Source organism: Homo sapiens, chromosome 1 (genome assembly GCF_000001405.40).
Source record: "Homo sapiens chromosome 1, GRCh38.p14 Primary Assembly".
In the NCBI taxonomy this organism is placed as follows: Eukaryota; Metazoa; Chordata; class Mammalia; order Primates; family Hominidae; genus Homo; species Homo sapiens.
This window is the reverse complement of record NC_000001.11, coordinates 198,648,379-198,667,655: the sequence shown is the minus strand read 5'-3', so window position 1 is coordinate 198,667,655 and position 19,277 is coordinate 198,648,379. Positions and strand designations below refer to the sequence as shown.

General features: G+C 34.5%; 1 protein-coding gene and 1 long non-coding RNA gene across 12 annotated transcripts in view; one reads left to right on the top strand and one right to left on the bottom strand.

Annotated features, from left to right (window-relative positions):
- The window catches only part of PTPRC (protein tyrosine phosphatase receptor type C), a 118,764-nt gene that overhangs the window by 89,821 nt on the left and 9,666 nt on the right, over positions 1–19,277 (bottom strand). The gene's annotated exons all lie outside the window — the stretch shown is intronic.
- PTPRC-AS1 (PTPRC antisense RNA 1) lies at positions 514–10,103 on the top strand. Its single transcript, NR_199042.1, has 3 exons — positions 514–657; positions 6,950–7,033; positions 9,835–10,103. It is a non-coding gene; the product is annotated as a PTPRC antisense RNA 1 (long non-coding RNA).

Genomic DNA, 19,277 nt, shown 5'->3' with positions numbered 1-19,277 from the left:
ATTCTTACTAGGATCTAGCTCTGTGCTTTGCAGTTAGCAAGTATTCAATAGCACAGCTAGAATAACTGAATGAATGGATGAGTGCCACCTACTCCTTTATTGTCCATCAATAATGCACCCAAGGCTAAATCTTAGCTTTCCAAACTCACTTGGCCAGACCAGTTGACATTCTTTATTCCCATCTGAGGAAAATTATTTTTTTTCAGTCTTTGTACATTGGGAAACTTGTCAGATAAAAGGCCTAATATAGATTCAATCATATAAAATGACTATGAGCTATGGCAACTAGAAGACATGATAAACATTCCAAAGCTATTCATAATCCCATTCTTCCTTGTTAAATGCTACAATAGAGGCTGGAAAACAAGAATAATTTCTTTCTCAGGGACTCCTTCCCACCTCTGACAGCAATGAATGGTTATATGTTAAATTTCTGGCCAATAAGTGTAGACAAAAGCTTCTGGGGAAGGTTTCCATCCCTGAATAAAGAGGCAAAACCTCACTAGGAAAAATATATTACCACTTTGCCTTCCCTTTCTTTTTGCTGGAATGTGATGAAAGGTGTGGACGCATAGCATCCCAAATGAGATAGGAGATGCTGAGCATGAAGACAAAAGCCTATCGAATGGGGTGTCAGAAAAGAAACATCAAAATATCGTAAGTTGCTTAGGGCATTATTATGTCTTTGTACTAGTCATGGATTTCATTCCTTTAGATCTTTAGTTGTAGAACTCCAATGTATTTGAACCACTAGTGATCACATTTTATTTTGTTTGATAGCTGAATACAAAGCTGGCTGATGCAGTGATCTACAAGGTCATGACTGAGGTATCTTATACTCATCCTCATTCAAGCAAGATTATGTTTAACTTAAAAAGACAAATGAAAAGGAATCTATTTTAATAAATATATTATTGGTGGAAATATTCATAGTCTACCTTGAAAGGAGTGTTATGTTAAGATTGCTTTGCTTGTAGAGTAATTTATGCCTTTAATTTCTGTGTCTAGTCTTTCTAAGCCAGAATAAAAGTCTGTTCATCATGATCTCTGTTATAGCCCTCCGCATATTTGAAGGCTGCTGTTATATCACATCATATATTAAGCTCAGTTAATAGATTAACAGACCCTTTATTTTTACATTTACTATAGCATCTAACATGGTTAGCAAATGCTTTTATTATTTCTTTATTTTCTTTATAAGATAAATGGGTATTACATATACCAAAGCATCTGTTTTGGAGCCACTATGATCACTAAAAGAATCTTTTCATTGTTCCTACCTTCTCCTTCCTACATGTGTGGAAAAAACACATGATTCCACACATACACATGGTTGTCTAATTCTATTGTTTAACCCTCCATGAATAGATGTCCACAATGCTCCCTACATCTCTCTTTTTTTTTTTTTTTTTTTTGAGACAGGGTCTTGCTCTGTTGCCCAGGCTAGAATGCTGGAGTGCAGTGGTGTGACCATGGCTCACTGCAGCATCCATTTCCTCGACTCAAACAATCTTTTCACCTCAGCCTCTCAAGTAGCTGGGACCACAGGCACTATACCCAGCTAATTTTTGTATTTTTTGTAGAGATGGGATTTGCCATGTTGCCCAGGCCGGTCTTGAACTCTTAGGCTCAAGTGATTCTCCCCCCTTGGCCTCTCAAAGTGCCTATGTCTTTAAATGTGAGTATTTGAGCATATTGAATGATGATGACCTGCCCTTTGCTGGTAAAGATATACTAATAACATAATATAAACAATACGTACACTTGGGATGTCTTTCCAGGGCTGGAAAGAGAATCATATTCTGTTTTTCCATGTTCTCATTTTATCCTGAATGTGCCAATTTAATTATTTGCCAACATGTTGCCAGACATGCTCCCTAGTCTGTGCTAAAGCATTTGTTACCATGTACTACATTGAACATACTTGAATGTTTCTGTCATGTTTACCACCCAGATGGTGAGAATCCAAGGAAAGGAGACACTTGTATTAAGTTCACAGTTTATCTGTTCTTGGAAACATATAACTGCATGAAGAGATCAGGATGAAAATATCGTTATAGTTACCCCAGTTACCTCAAGGTGGAAGTCTGGGTCAGACAACCACGGGGACCTGCCATTGCAAAACTTCTCTGTATATGCCTGGGGGACCTGGCTGTTCTAGTTTTTCACCATCTTTGACATCTGCTTGTTCTCACTTGGCTCCTGCCTTACCCTCAGGGTCTCAATAATGACTTCTTGACTTTGACAACTTTGACAAAAATGCATTCATCAAAATTATAATAAAAAATAAAATCTATTTTTAAAATATGATATTTAACTCATGTATTAAATTGCTTTAAAAGGCAGCAGGGCGGTGAAACCCCGTCTCTACTAAGAATACAAAAAAAAAAAAAGAAAAATTAGCCAGGCGTGGCGGCGGGCGCCTGTAGTCCCCCCTACTCGGGAGGCTGAGGCAGGAGAATGGCGTGAACCCGGGAGGCGGAGCTTGCAGTGAGCCGCGATTGCACCACTGCACTCCAGCCTGGGCGACAGAGCGAGACTCCGTCTCAAAAAAAAAAAAAAAAAAAAAAAAAAATGCTGCCGGGATGTTCTAAAAACACTCCCCACCCCTTGTACTGACTCCAATCCCATTCAGATCCAAAGGGTAACCCTCCAGATTAGGATACCTGGATTTTTCATGGTAGTCCCGAGAACATTAGCCTTAAGGGAAAAAATATAGCATATTTGTCCTTTTCCTGTCATAAGCCATTTTTAATATGGGAGTATCACAAAGTCAAAAAGAAAGAGATCTTAAAATATTTCTTCCAATGCTAGAGCCTATGTGGACATAAGGGAGAGGCTCAGGGCAGGGGGAGAATAAATCCTTGATTTCAAATCTAGCAACTATCAGGGTTATAAGGGACCTCGGAGAGGAGATTTTGTAGTCTTCCCAAACAGCCTATTCTAGAGCTTCACACACAGGTCTGAAGAGGAAGTAGACATCTGAGATGAAGAGGAGAGCAGTTCCTGGTATATTTCGGTTAGAGTTTTCCAAATTTTCAAAAATCATTCACTATATAGTATTAAAGGCCACTGTATCAGATTTTGTCATCAAGTAACATGACTATTAAAAATGGTAGTTGAGAAAGAATTTTAAAAAAACAGTTCTGTTTTCTACAGGGAAGTAGGAAGGAGTGTCTGCACTGGGGCACAATAAGATTGCTACAAACTTACAGGATCACATCATGTCCTCTGAGACGTGCTCTCAGAAAGATAGTAGGGACTTAGTTTTTCTCCCACATAGCATCGTTAAGTCTCTTCTTGCTACCGAAATAATTCGTTTTGCTGCCAAAACAGTTTGCAATTATGACAAAATTCACATCCAAAAGATATTTAAAACAAATATTTTCCCATTTTTGTATAGTTCCCTCTCAAATGTGGGAAGATGGTCTGTTCCTTATTTCTCACAGCCACAGGCACCGCCTTCCAGAAACAGAATAAAAACCCACACTGTCCTCAATTATTCAAAGACCAATTTTCTGAGAACATATAAACTTATTTGATATATAAAAATTATAGCAAACATTGTCTTAAATAATAATATTTATCATTCTCTTCACCCCCATAGCATCTTTAACATACTTTTCTTTCCATGAACTAAAGGCATGTAGGGTTAAAAAAAAGTATAGTTTGGAAACATTAGTGGTGTTTATTATGATTATTAATATAGAAAAAATATTTTGCTTTTGTCTCAATACTCTGTTGTTAGGCAGGTAACATGATGTCATACATTAATAATAAAAATAATAATAGCATAACAATGAAAATAATAATTACTAACATATATTCAATAATGTTTATTTTCCAATCATTTATTCTTTAGTACCTGTGAGGTATGCACTCAAATTATTTTCATTTAAAGATAAGGAAACTGAGGCACAAAGCGGTTAATCACTCTTCCCAGAGAAAAGCAGTAAGTGGCAGAGTTGGGATTTAAATCCAAGAAATCTAGTTATTAAAGCCTGCAATCTTAACCATCACAAAACTATCCTGCAATCAATATTATATATCAAGGCCACTAGGTCAGCTGTGGATTCAGAAGGTGGCTACAGGTCTCCAATGTCCAGGTCAGGGCTTTGTCCATTTGACCAAGCTTCTAACTGAAGTCTTCTTCAACTACTTCCAGAAGCTTGCCAGTACCTCAATGTATTCAGGCTCAAGATTGCTTCCTTCTATTTCCACAAATGCACCTGTGCCCTTTTACACTTTTCATGAAGCTTAAAGCTTATTTAATTGGATGAAGGAATCTTATAGCTAAAAGTGCTCCTGAGAATTCTATTTTTCAAAAGATAAAAAGTTAAAGACTATTATTATTCAAATTGTTACCACCACCAGCTTGGTTTGGCTCCATTAACGCACTGAAAAGAATGAACTTCAGCAAGGAATAGAGGGAAGCAGGTGTACTCAGCAGGGTTCAGGTCTAAGAAATTCAAAATTACACAGAAGTGGTGGTCATAAGTTCAGTCTTGCCTGCAGTGCAATTGTGCAGGGAGATTGTCTTTATTCATCAGTGGGTAATCATAGACTCGTCAGAAATCTATTGCACTTCCTAGGTGAAGAGACGTGGGAAGTACAACACAGATGCTCAATCTCCCCTTTGGCCAGTAGCTCTTGCTCTGGCCAGGGGTCAGGCGTAATTCAGCTCCTCCCTCCCACATGTGTACAATGGTCACATGGCACAGTTACATCAACTGCAGAGAGGGAATGGTTAGTTCAGAATGAAAGCGTGATATGAGATCCTTACGTTGGAGGAAAAACTATAGTTTTCATGATTCCTATGAAAACATTTAAGTGTGACAGTTATAGAAGCAGACATGTTAAAAGAACAGAAACATAACTGTCAAATAGCTAAGGGTATCTATAGTATCTGTAAAACTATTTTAGGAAAGGAGAAAGGAATACTGGTCAATGTGTGGAAAGTGGAAGAAAAAGGCAGGAGTATCCAGAATATGGAGAGAACTACATTTTAGGTTTTTCAATATTCCTAATTACTTTTCCCTTTTTTTGTCCCTTTCCATCCTCCTCTATTTCTCTTATTTCTATCATATAAGCCACTCTATTAAAACATTCCAGTTTAAAATATATATTGACATTTGTGTATATACTAATATGGTCTCATGTTTATACACACACACTCTCACACACACACACACACACACACACACACACACAGCTCTCAGAAAATTCCCAGCCAAAATGATCCTAGAATCAAGTTGTTCAGATCAAACATTGGCTCTGCCTCTTATTAGCTCTGTAATCTCAAATAAATTGCCTACATTTTCCATGCCTCAGATTCTTTATCTATAAAATAAGAATAAGAAATACATATACATTATAAAGTTGTTAAGAATTAGAAGAGTGAATAAATGTATGCATTAAACATAGCATCTAGCACATATGAAGTCCTGAATATTATCAGTTATCTTAATGATTATTTTTATTGATATTACTATTAATAAAATAGCCAATACATCAATACATCATGGAAGTGCCTTGCCTAAATCTGGTTAGGTTGACTCTGAGATTGCTGATTTGTACAATATAAAAACTGGCTGACCAGTTGGACATGGTGGCTTCTTAATCACCATCGTTTGGAAGACAAGTCTTTGTTGATTCAAGATACCAGGTCCCTGAAGTGCTGTGTCCAGTCCAGAATATCACACATTATAAATGAAATTGAAATCCAAGAGTATTCAGAGGAGGCTAACCGGAGGTAGGTAGTGGGGAAGGGAGCAAGATAATGTGTCAAATACGGAAAACTTAAAGAAGTCTATTTTGTCCTAAAAAATAATAGTATAGATGAAAATACAATAAATACATTCAAATACTTGAAGTATTATTATAAGGAAGAAAGTATGGTCCTATTCCATGCTGCGGTAAGGATAAGAATTTTATCTTGTTGGCGTATCAGTGGTTCTCAGTGTTTTCTGGAGACTCAAGATAGTCCCCAAGAACCTTTTAAAGATTCTTCAAGGTCAAAATAATATTAATTAAGTGTTATGAGTATTATTATTTACCTAACAGTACTAAGAAGTTATTTTTCTTCTTCTCTCTCATTCTCTCATTAGTAGAAAATTAATGTTTCCAGAAACTATATGGTATATAATATTACAACAGATAGAGAATATTAAAGCATATATGAGAATCCAGCTATCTATTATTCAGACAGACATTTAAAAGATTTGTAAAAATGCAAAAAAGTGACACTATTCCTATTAAATCTTTGTTTTATAATATCTGGTTGTTTTTCATACAATATGTGCTATTTATATTAATATATTGATTTATTATTATTTAATAAATAATTAAATATTTTAAAATTCTATCTAGTTTATTTTACAATAAATATATATAACCCACATAGACAAAACCTCTTTATATTCCACAATTATGCTAAAAATTAGGTTTATGTTTAAGAATGTTTAAAAAGGAGTCCAGAGACTAAAAGGCATGAGAAACATTGGTTTCAATTAACAGTGTTAAGATTTTGAAACCACAAATTTCAAAATATTTCAGCAGTTCAGCACTAAATTAGGCTTTTCTTTTTTTCTTAATGTAGTTTTTAGAAAATATTCAGTGAGTGTGTGTGGTAAGAGGGATATATATACATTGATCCTAGTCACCTCTAAGGCTTCTTTCAACTCAAAGATTCTGCAGCTCCATTGTGAAAGGAATTGAAAAGAGAGCTTACTGAAAATACTGTTCTCATAAGCCTGGTGTGAAAGTTAGCAGCTAAGCATGTGGTTAGGAGCGGCAGTTTTGGGGTGAAGCAAAAAGTGAAGAACTCCAGTGCAAGAATATAATGCATTTTTGGATCATTGTGTTGGTGGTAGATTATCTAATGAAAATGATAAGACTGAAGGGTTTGCTGTCAAAGTTACTTAGATTTCATAATGGAATGTCTTCTCAGGAGGATGGAAACTAGAGTCCATGTTGGCCTTACAAGTCTTCTCTGAATATTCCAGAAACTAATAGTTAAGATTCTTTCAAAAAGGTAAGTTGATAGATGCCCACACAGTTTCTCCTCTAGACTGTGTCACAGATGACAACCTCATAACCTCTACCTGTTGTCCTGGTTCTACCATTTATTTCAACACAGAATACACACACACACCACACACACACACACACACACACATATATTTGGGTGTGTTTATGTAAATTACATATTTCCTCTTTCATATAACTTTATATTCAAAATTTAAACACAGCTGCACAAAAGATAAATGTGCAAATCATAGGAACACAATTCACAAAGGAAATGTAAATAATAAGCATATGATAAAACCCTGAACACAGTAAAAATTAAATTAATCACAAAATGGTAAATTGAAGAAATACCAGTTTTTATAAAAGTAACACTTTTGAAAATGATAAAATTAAACTCTGACAAAAGTATGTGAAAGGAAACTCATACAATGTTAGGAAGAGAATAGAGGAAACAACTTTTCTGAAAGCCATTTGTCAATATATATGAAGAGACTGAAAATGTTTTCATTTTTTAACACAGGAATTCCAGGTCTAGGACACTATATCAAAAAAAAGATCATATATATATATATATATATATATATATATATATATATGGACATATATATGGACAAATATATCTATATATTTATATAGATATAATCTATTTATATAGATATATATGTCCATATACGTGGACAATGATTTCTGTATGATGATATGCATTTTAAAGAAAAACTACCAAAATATCTTTCTTTGAAAACTAAAACAACTAGTTTTACAGAAAAATTAAGAAAAATATTCTTGGTCAGGCACAGTGGCTCACGCCTGTAATCCCAATACTTTGGGAGGCCAAGGCGGGCAGATCACCTGAGGTCCTGAGGTTGGGAGCTCGAGACCAGCCTGAACAACATAGAAAATCCCTGTCTCTACTAAAAATACAAAATTAGCAAGGCATGGTGGTGCATGCCTGTAATCCCAGCTACTCAGAAGTCCGAGGCAGGAGAATTCTTTGAACCTGGGAAGCGTAGGTTGCAGTGAGCTGAGATCATGCCATTGAACTCCAGCCTGGGCAATGAAAAAAAAAAAGCAAAAAAAAAAATATATATGTATTCTTCAAAGCCATGTTGGTTTGGTCATTAAACACACACTGTCGATTTCCTCAGACAGTCCGAACTATCGTGTCCTCAAAATGAGCACTGGCCCCCTCTGTCCCTCCACTGCATGGGGCCTACACAAGAAATCCCACCTGGGGAGGGGCCACATGTATCTTTTCCACAAATTTGTCTTCTGTTCCTTGGCATAGAGCAATACTAACATTTGTGAAATATTTGTAGAAAACACAGCTGCCTTTTCTACAAAATATGCAAGTAATTACTATAAAATAGTATGTGTCTAGTGGTGACAGACAAGAGAACAAGGCAGAAATCAAAACATGAAGAAGCTGGTGTCTCCTTCTTAGAGACCAGGTGTCTCCACTAGCCCATTAATTGTCATAATGGCCTCTGAGTTCTAACCTTAAAAAAAGTATATTCTCTTATCTCTCAAAATTTTAATTTTACTTGAAATAAGTTGGTTCTCAACTTCAAATTCATCATTAAGATATTTTTAAAATATGATTTTGAAAAATCTTGTCTGGAAAGAAAATTCTTTTCCTTAGCAGAACGCCACAGAAATGCAGATACTTCCTGCGCATGTCTGTAGGGTAGTACCGTATCAGTTATTCAACTTAACGTTCTCAAATGATTTGATGAAAGCACTCTTTCTTCTAAAGATTCTTACTCTAAAAGGTAAGGGTTAGCTGGATTTTTTTTTTTGGATTATCATGAGGAGCAACCAGAAAACTGTGCTACACTCTCTAAGGGGACACAAATTGTCATAATTTTCCAGAAAGGAACATAATAAGAACAGAAGTGCAATTCCATCAAATCTTGCCACATATGTGTTACATTTAGTATTCTGGGTAACAAATGCCAAACTTTTAACCACTTTTCAGGGGTGAGAGGAGAGGAAAGGACAGAGCCGGCATAGAAAACTTGTTAATTAGTCTGTAAAAGAGCAAGCAAAAGACTTCACCAAAGTTACCACTTCAGGACAAGAAATATTTTTCTTATATAGGAGAGACTGATAAATCATGGTAAACATTCTACGTTATCCTTATCATTCCGTCTCAAGGAGGTATGTATACATTGTGTCTTTCATGAGCACAATTACAGTCCACATCACTTTATTTTATTCCCTCCTTGTATAAGAAAGCAACATAATAAAATAATACTCAGGCTCAATATTTTGCCATTTTTACTATCAGATTACCAGTCATAGTGTCAGTCTATCTATACAAAACATGCTAAAATATTCCCACGATACCAGATTATCTCATAGAATTATAGAGCCTCATCAGTTCATGTGTATCATTATTAATTCAACAAATATGTATTTAAAGGCTACTCTGTAACGATAGGCACTGCCTATACAAAGACAAAGGAAAACATCTCTCTCTCTCTGAAAGGTGCTTAAAGCAGAAAGAAACTAAAAACCAAATAAGGAAGGGTATTCCAATGAGACAGACCAGAAAGATGTCCCTGTGGGCATGTAGGATGGCTGAAATGTATATGTGCTCCACATCTCTCCCCTGGAAAGGTGAAAAACCTGTACTGTTGCACAGAGCTTGGGCACAGTTTAGTTTAACACACATTCATCGAGTATTGAATCATAATTATACTATTTTTGTCTGTGGAAGAGATGCCACAAATGCATTTTTTATGGGCTATAAAGAAAGCCAATGTCAACAAGAAACCTAAAAAAAATGTGTTTGTGTTCATTCAGGAGTAAAGCAGAGACATTCAAAGATGAACAGCAATTCTGAATGGAAAGAGGCCAGCTGTAAAACGTCATAGAAGACCTGCAGTAGAGATACAATCCTGAGAAGAATATTTAGCAAGAATGGGGTTTCAGATTTCTGGTATTTCCATATGGGTGGAGATTGAAGAAAAAAAAGAAAAGAGCAAAAGTTTTCTCATAATGTTTTGCAACTTCTGCTTCCGGGCCCAGTCAGAGCCCAAAAGCAGCAAGAGAAGTAAAATGAAAACACTGAACATTTTTTTTGTTTTGTTTTGTTTTAAATAATAATTAATTTTCACTCACAAAACTGAGTATACTTAATTCAGGTATGTTTGAGATTTCAAATGAATATCTATAGTGAATGCATTTTTATTTAAAAGGAGAAAATGGTTTATTCTTGACATCCTTTCTTAGCTTAGAGAGAAATAAAATCTTCAGAAAATAGTGGTGGCTTACAAAAGTTGGATTTTTTTAAAGGAATAAAATGGAAAGCACGAGTAATCTGATGATAATATTCAATAACAGAAAAAGTTCTTGCCACTAACACTTTATCAACTATAAACATAAAAACCTACTTTCTTAAAGATTAATTATCTACACTGTGATCAGCATAAATGCACAGCTAATTTTTTTCTGCTCTAGTAAGTGAATATTTTGGATTTCAGAATGAACTTTGCTTTACTAGAAAGAGGTAAATCAAAATATTTAATCTACATAGGAATACATACAGTGTGTGTGTGTGTATATATATATTTATATATATACACTATATGTATTAAAAAAAAAACCTCTTGATTCCATCCTATGGTGGAGTTAGAATGTTCTATTAACACAAGTAGATATTTCGTTTTAAACAAAACTGATTTTTTTTCCTACACTAATTTAATCTCCTTGCCTAATGTTCTTTAGTCCTCCAACAGGTCTGCCTACTTAAACAATTTCTAGTCACAGGATGTGGCTGCCACAGTTTTATCTCCATCTGGCAGAACATAACCAACCTGCTTGAGCTCTCAGCTCCTGTTTTATAGCAACTAAAGTTTCCTTGTTCACCCGCTCCCCCACGCCACCTCCATGACGTGCATTTCTCGTAAAACTACAGATCAGTAAACTTCCTCAGGGAACTTGCAGTAATGTATGACAAAAAAAAAAAAAACAAAAAACAAAAAACTAGTAGCCCTGTGATGTGTAGCAGAATTCATCAGACTAGCTGTCTGTTCTGGCACTGATTGCCAGGCAAGCTTCCATTGTGCCTTCATAGCTCATACACAGTGCACTTTCCCTGTATTAGGCCCTTGTAGGTATCTGGATCCATGGGCAAAAACTTGAGTAGGGGAGGGAAAGAAAGGGAAGCAACAATACCTTTTAAGTCAAAAACTGAGAATAATAGATTGCTATTTCTTCTATATGCAAAGGATGAAAATATACCTATGACCCTTTTCACTGTGAAATGCTTAATGTTTGTTCTAGCAATTCTTACTGGAAATGACTGCCTTACACAGTTGCAAATGTCTTAGAATAGTATAGTGAACATCTATGATTGGAAATAAGTCCCTGTTAATCTTTCAAATAATGACCAAATTTTTGTAACCTCTGGTAGGTACAATTCGTAAATACATGGATAACTCTTACAGGACAAAAATTACATCCTACTTATAGTGAATATATTTTTATATCATTTTGTTAAAACTTCTTAAATTTTTCTAATAGTTAATACTTAATTGTTACTACAAAATTCTCACCTGTGAATCTTTTAAGTTTTTTAAAAATTATGTGATATCTCCTTTGTTCATTGTATAGAGTACCCAACGAACTTCATGGTGAGTGATGCTTAGTGGGTGCTTTCTGATGAAGCATCCAGTAGTTTAACCAACTGGTCTAGAATAGCACAGTGTTACTGCTGGGAGCCATAAAGAAATTATTTCAATGAAGTTTGTAGTTTTCAGTTAAGGTGGCTAGGGTAGGCAATTTTGCCCTCAGTTGACATTTGGCAATGCCTGGAGACATTTCTGGTTGTCACAGTCAGAGCAGGTTGGGTAAATGTGCTGCTGTGTCTAGTTTACAGAGGCAGGAATGTTGCTAAACATCCTACAATGCCCAGGTCATCTCAGTTCTCCAACTAGATTGTCCACAGGGTCAAGATTCAGAAACTAGTCTAAGCTGTAAATCTCACTGAAAAAGAAACCAGGCTTAAAGAAGTCAAGTCACTTATTGAATACCACATACCAGAATCTCAGTCTAGTGAAGAGGAATTAGTAATAGAGTTAGGATTCAAAACTTGTCCCAAAATGCCTAATCCAACATTCATTTCATTGTATCAGGCCACAGAACAAATACCTCATAATATGCTGGAGGAATTCTAGACCAAGTTCCCTCATTTTTGGTGTAACAAAGGACAAGTCACTAAATATCTATGAGTTTCAATTTTCTTTTTTGTAAAATAGATGCGTTGAAATAGATTATTTCTAAGGTCTCTTGCTTCTCTAAAATTAATTGTTGTATAAATAATGCTACTTTACATTATAGTAGTTTCCAAATTCCTTTTCTCTTTCTTTAATTTTTTTTCTCTTTTTAAAATGTTTGGTACAGGAATTCTAACTCAAATAAAAGCAGGAAATATGTCAGCTAATTAAAAAAAACCGGCAACTTGAACAATACTTGTCTCTCAGTAAATAGTAAAGACCATCACAAAATAAAAGGTATTCTTATTTGTTATTATTTAATAGAAGACACATTCTCTGGTCCATTTATATCCTGTATACAAATTAACTTATTTTGATTGTATCCATGCAATCTAAGACAATAAAAATAGAAGAAAAAACAGCCACATAAACAGCAAAGTGTTATTACTGATTTAATTGAATTGATTTGACATTTTCAGTCCACTGATATATTTCCTGAGATAAAAGTTGCCCTTAGTATTCATGAATCTGTAGTTCATTCTTAGTAATTTTAACATGAAAAATTGATGTGTTTAAATTTTCACTTTAATATTCATGTTTTCTATAAAATATTGTAAAATTCTAAGATATTATGGTTATACATATTTATTACTATTATTACATATTAATGTGAATTTTGAGAAACTTTCCTTTGCATGATTTTCTCAAATTACAAAATATATTATTCTCTTATAAAGGACAGCAGGTTTAAAATGGAGCAAGGAGCATTGGAAATATATTTAAGGGGAGGGAGGGGCCAAATTTGGTTGTTAAATACCATATTTTATTGATTAAAGAGTTTGGCAGATTAATTGCTACAATTGTAAAATAGGACAACAGATAAAAAGAGAAAATATATAGTTGTCTTTTCTTCACTAAAAAAACTAGTACTTGTAATCTGTGTATATAAATTTTTCGTGTACCATATAATCCCTAATTTTAAATCTCCTTTCATTATAAAGTGAGAGAATGAAATCTTAGCTATCACATTGTTGTTTCAATCCACTAGCTAATTTTTTTAAATCAGAAGAAAATAAGCTGTCATTTATTTATTTATTTTACTCAAAAAGAATTTTAATCTGACCCATGTGCCACTGTTATTGTTAACCTCTAGACATTTTAACAGCATTTTGATGGACCTTAAATCAATTAACACTATAAAGGAAAACATCTGTGGCTCTAATACATTTTAGAGTTACTCTTAATATTTTTTTGTAAGGATTTTAAAATGCATTTAATTAAATAAAGCCACTGAAAATTCCATAATTCACAGTGTGTTAAAATACCAGATATTAAAATCACGTCAATTTTATTAACAAACATGAGGCATGCATATCTGTAAGAGGGAGTTATTAGAAAAGCCAGCGGAAGGAAATGTTTTCTTGCCATCAAATCCAGATGTTCAGTTCATAAAATGGAGGCCTAGAAAAAAGGCAAGTTATGGCACTGAATAACATTAAGAAGCGTTACCTCTGATAAAATTCATGGACAAAATAGATCTTTAAATAAATAATGCTTTACTTTTGTCTTAAAGTAGTATTTTCTACTTTACATGTGGAATAGAATAATGGGTGAATTAAAATAAAAGGCACATAATTTCCTTTTCCACAAACACCTTTATGTAAATATTCATATGTTTTAAAATGTAAAGAATACTCTTTAGCAAAAAGATGATCCATGGGAAGTATTTTCTTCCAGACACTGACAAAACTTAAACTGGAGCGAAGATTCCACAAAAATCATGGCTCTATGGATGGCAAGGATTATTTTTTCTTTTCCTTGATCTGTTGCTCTTTAGCAAATACAGATGTTTATAGAATAGATTAATTACAGAATAGGAGTTCATGTTGACAGTGGTTGAACATTCTGTATTTCAGTATTTCAATTTGTAAAATAATTTGTGAATCATTTCTTGTTTTTTTAATCAAGATTTCAACTTTTATTCCAATTCTTAAAGTGAAAAACCAAATGAGAAACTAATCATAGTAGTGGTAACAAAATTTCTATACTCCTTTATCGTTTTTCAAATGCTTAAACAGTATAACAATTCCTCATATTATTTTGTTTTGTTACACTTAATGAAGTGATTTTACATTCATTTTCTATAACCACCTTATACGTAGACATGTAAACTAAATTAAAATTTAGTTTAAGAGAAAGCATTTTATTAAGGCTAACAAAAAAGTCCTTTGGATGCTTTGAGCATAACACATTTGTTCTTGAAAAGTGACTAATTAAGATAGATGGGAAGATATGTACAGTTAAATTGATATTAATAGAAAATACCTTTACAGTGTTCCTGAAAAATGGAATGTGACAAAACTGGCACAAATTTTACATTTGACAACTAAAGGTATTTTTATTATTCTTATTTTCTTGCCTTTGAAGTACTTCTTATATTGTATCTGACTCGTTCTACTTCCAGAATTTTGAGGTTCCACTTGCCTTTGATCTTTCAGTAGCCATTCCCAATAGTTCTTTCATCCACACCATCGAGCCGCCCTTGACATAACACCATCTTTTATTCTTAGAAAAGGGAAAATCTTTTATTTCAAAGGCTTTGGTGATTTTCCCTCATGGGTCACCCTGAAAGTATTTTTCATCTTCCTATGGGTGAGAACCTCTTATTCCTTGAGCCTCTGGATGGACTCCTGGGTTCCCTCTCTTCTAAAGTTACCATTCAGCAAGGAGGAATCACAGCTATTCACATTTCAATGATGCTGATTCCTCTTTTACCTAGATGGAATGCTATTTCTTTCATTTACACTTTATCCTTGAAACAATGACCAAAAAAAAAAAAGGGTAATATTTGTTTACGTAATTGGATTAACATCTGAAAATGGATTACTTAGGTTTGCTAGGCTTTTATTATCTTTTATTGGATAGGTATTTAAATATCTCTCTGGTGCTTACACACAACTAGATTATTCAGCATTGGGAGTAAATTATGCTTTCTGATTTCACAAATGATAGTGCCTACATGCACGATTATCTGCTTCTCACACACTAATACAGTGTTTGTGTTATATGGGAGAGATTTCTCTCAATCTCTTCCCCCTTCCCCTCCTCTCCCTCCCTCCCTTTCTAGTTCTCTCCTAGTCTTTTAAATAAGGATTAAGCAGATGTGCTTAAACTGCGGCTTTATATCTACATGAAAATTAAGCAGCGACAGGAAGAGAAAGCTGCACAGCTTTCTCCTGTACTGAGATTTTTCAATACATTCTCACTATTGAGATCACAGTAAACTGCCAAAACACCTGATGCGCCCTTTTTTCAACTTAAGCAAAATATCATAATACAAAATAAATACCGATAGATCATATTTAAGTTACTTACTCTTTTGTTTTAACCATAATTCTGTTTTCCCTATTAAGACTAGTGACCAAGGATTGTACATTCGTTGAATAATCTGTAGAACTAGAAGCAATGTAGAAACAAATCTGAGGCTGAATAGCCTGGTGTGCATTGAAGCATCATATGGAGTGCCAGGCACACGAGACACTCAATGTTACTTCCCTTTCCTGACCCCTTCTTTCTCAACCTTAGTACTGTATTTAAAATTAGAACAAGGAAAATTAAATTGAACTATTCCCTTTTAGGATATGACAACCAGTAAATTTTATGATAATATCAGGAAACACAAATTAACAAATTTGCTTATGTTAAAGACAAGTATAAGCTAGACTATACAATGACATGAGCTTGTTAAATGAGATAACATTTATAAAATGTTAACAGAAGTGCCTGGCACAGAGTAAGCACTATTTTTTATTAGCTTTTTCTTATTAGCTAACCACCAGTAAGTACAAAATTAAGTAGCTCTAAAAAAAAGTTTTAAGGAAACCTGCCAAGCCTGAGATCAAAATTACACACAGAGATATACACACACTGACAAAAGGATTTATATCTATTTATGTGCAGTTTAATTTTCACGATATTAGATTCTACCTAATATCTGCCACATTGATAACAACTACTTTTTAAATTTCTCAAAGAAATGGAAGGTTTAATTTCAGTTTAAAAATAAACCAGTTATTTAACCAATACACACACACACACACACACACACACACACAATCCCAATCTGTTCAAGTATTGTCTTAAACAATATTTTAAAATATGTATCAAAACAAAACATAAGCTACAAAATGGTTCAACAGAGCATTACCTTTGCATGAAATTTTCAGTTAAATTTCTAATTCTTTAGTCTCTCAATATATTCTGTAGTTTTTATTAAAACAAATTATGTTAAGATGTACCTCTTTCTTTTTCTAATTGTTAAGCTAGCAAGGGATATATTAGGTAAAGACATCTAATTCTTCCAAATATTATAAATTCCTTAATATTACTTTTGTAACAATATTAAAGTTAATAGAGATATTTACCAATTGCATGTTCACAACCAACCTTTCTAGGGGAGACATAAATTCAGATTTTTATGTGGAATTTACTGAATTCTCACTATAATGCCAACCCTTTTCAACATTCAAAGCAAAGTATAGTTCTACTTTTTTTCACTGGCTACCTCTTCTCACTATCTTTTCCTAGCTCCTCCTTGTGTCTCTTCCAAATATGAAGTTTCCCAAGGCTCAGAAACCAGTCATCTGCTACTCTCTACATGTTTATTTACACTGTCACATGCAGTCCCTTAGCTTTAAGCTCCATCTGAATGCAATGACTCCTATGTTTATGTCTCCAGTTGAGACCTACTGAATGGGCCTCAGCCTCTTATCTCCAACGGATTTCTTGACCTCTCTACCACCTAATGAAAATCAGACATCAATAACAGCCCAAACATAACTCTGGATTTCTGACCCCCTAATTTGGCTCTTTCCCATCCCAGTGCTCATGGGGAAAAAAAGTCATTCTCTAAAATGTCTTTGTCTTTTCCATGCAGCCACTTCTCTTAATTCTATGTCAGTCTTTCCTTTCTTTCCACCTGCACTGCCAACACTTGGTCCAGATCACCATCCCCTTTCTCCATCCTCCCATTCAGTCTCCTCATAACTGCTTCCAGGCTTTGCCTTACTTCCAATCTATTCTCTTCATAACAGTCAAAGTGATCTCTTCAACACAGAAAGAAGATTAGGTTATTCTGTACTTAAGAACTTAAAATGGTTCCTTCCCTTTATACTTCAGGTAAAATTCAAGCTCTTTCCATTTCCATCAAGGCCCTGTGGGACCTGCCTTCTGCTTATCTTTCTAGCCTCACCACAACCTGCTCAGTTCTTACTCACCATACTACAGATGCCTGACCTTTCTGTGCCTCGAACCTACCAATTTGTTTGGTTTTGCCAGATAACCTTTACTCTTGCCAGTCTCCCTCACATGGATCCCCATATTCTTGTCAGCCAACAGGTAGCTCAATGATTCTTCTTCATAAGGATCTTCCCCGATCACTCTGTCTAAAAGTGCATTCACCCCTAAATCTGGGTCTGGCCAGATTAAACTCTACCATATTACACTACTTAATTTTCTTCACAGCATTTATCTATAACTGAAGTTATCTCAATTTGTTGTTTGTTTTCTTGTTATCTCTCACCACTAGGAAGTCAGTTTCATAAAAGTAGTTACACTTTCTGCTTTCTTTACCACTGTGTCAACACTTAAAACAGTTTTTAGCTTAGCAGGGGCTCTATAAACAATTGATGAATCGATGAGTGAATCATCTCATTTAATATCTCTTGCTATTATTTCCATTTTACACACGAGGAAACTGAGGCTTTGGAAGGTAATTCTTCCCCAATTTTTCATCATTGGAAGTCTCCAATGATGAAACTGGAATGGAATCCGGGCAAGATTTCAAAGACTGACTTCTTTAAGTACTTTAAAAGTAGCGATTGTCTGAATCCAACATTTGCACTAAAGTTTCTTCAAGTTACTTTTATCAGCTCCCTGACCTTTTCCTTTTTCTTTGGTTTATCTGTTTCCTTCATATCACCACTTCCTTTCCGTCAAAACTCTCAACTGATGTCTTATGCTTCATTTATGTTTCCTTAGCCATTACATACCTTTATCATACCTAAAGCATCAATAAGTAAATTCAGAAAATAAGAACATGGGTCATTGGAAAGTAGAAATACATAGAGTTTAGTAAGCATAGTTAAAATCTTATTTTATAAACCAGACTATCTGGAAATCTAAGTCTAAGAAGTCAAAGTATAATATTTGGCCTAAATTATATGATTGGAATCCACATTTATCAAATGAACCAAACAATAATTTTTTTTTGTTTTGTTTTAGTCTCCTCAAAGTTTAGCCAACTTGTCTCTGGAATAAAAAGTGTAGGATGGATTTACCTGGTTCACTTAATATGCTTTTTGGATGACTATGAAAAGATTATCTAGTGTCTACACTTCCTGGAATAAGATGAGAACCTTATGTGTTTTCCATGATCAAAGTGTTTAACAAAGGTCAAGTTACTTCCCTTGCACTTCAAAAACAAAAAAAAATCTAGATACTTTGGTGAATTATTTAATGTTTTTCACTTTATGTAATATCAAAAATGAGTTGGGTGGGGGAAAATCCATTCTTTCCATCATATCACTCACCTCAAGACAGACTCAGTCCTGTCCTTTGTTAGCCTCCTTTTCAGGATGATTGTAACACATCACATCAGTATTCATAGTGAAGACAAATTAATCAAAGATGTCTTTTTGTTTTTTATAAAAGTCATACAATCTTATGTGAATTTTACATAGATACAGAATATGCTAAAGATATAGAAGCAGCTCAGTGCACAATGGTTCATGTAAGTAGCTAAATCAGGTGAATGAACTTACATGCATATGTCACACAAACAACCTCTGAGAAATTACCAGCTCCCATTCAGTCCTGCTGTGATTTGCCCATCATCACACAGTCATGTCTTAAATTCCAGGTTATTAAACTGACCACTAAGAAGATTGAGTAACCGAGTGGAAAATCTAGAATCTGGTCTATCTAGAATCAGATAGACCCCGATTAAGACCCCAGCCTTCACCCCACCCC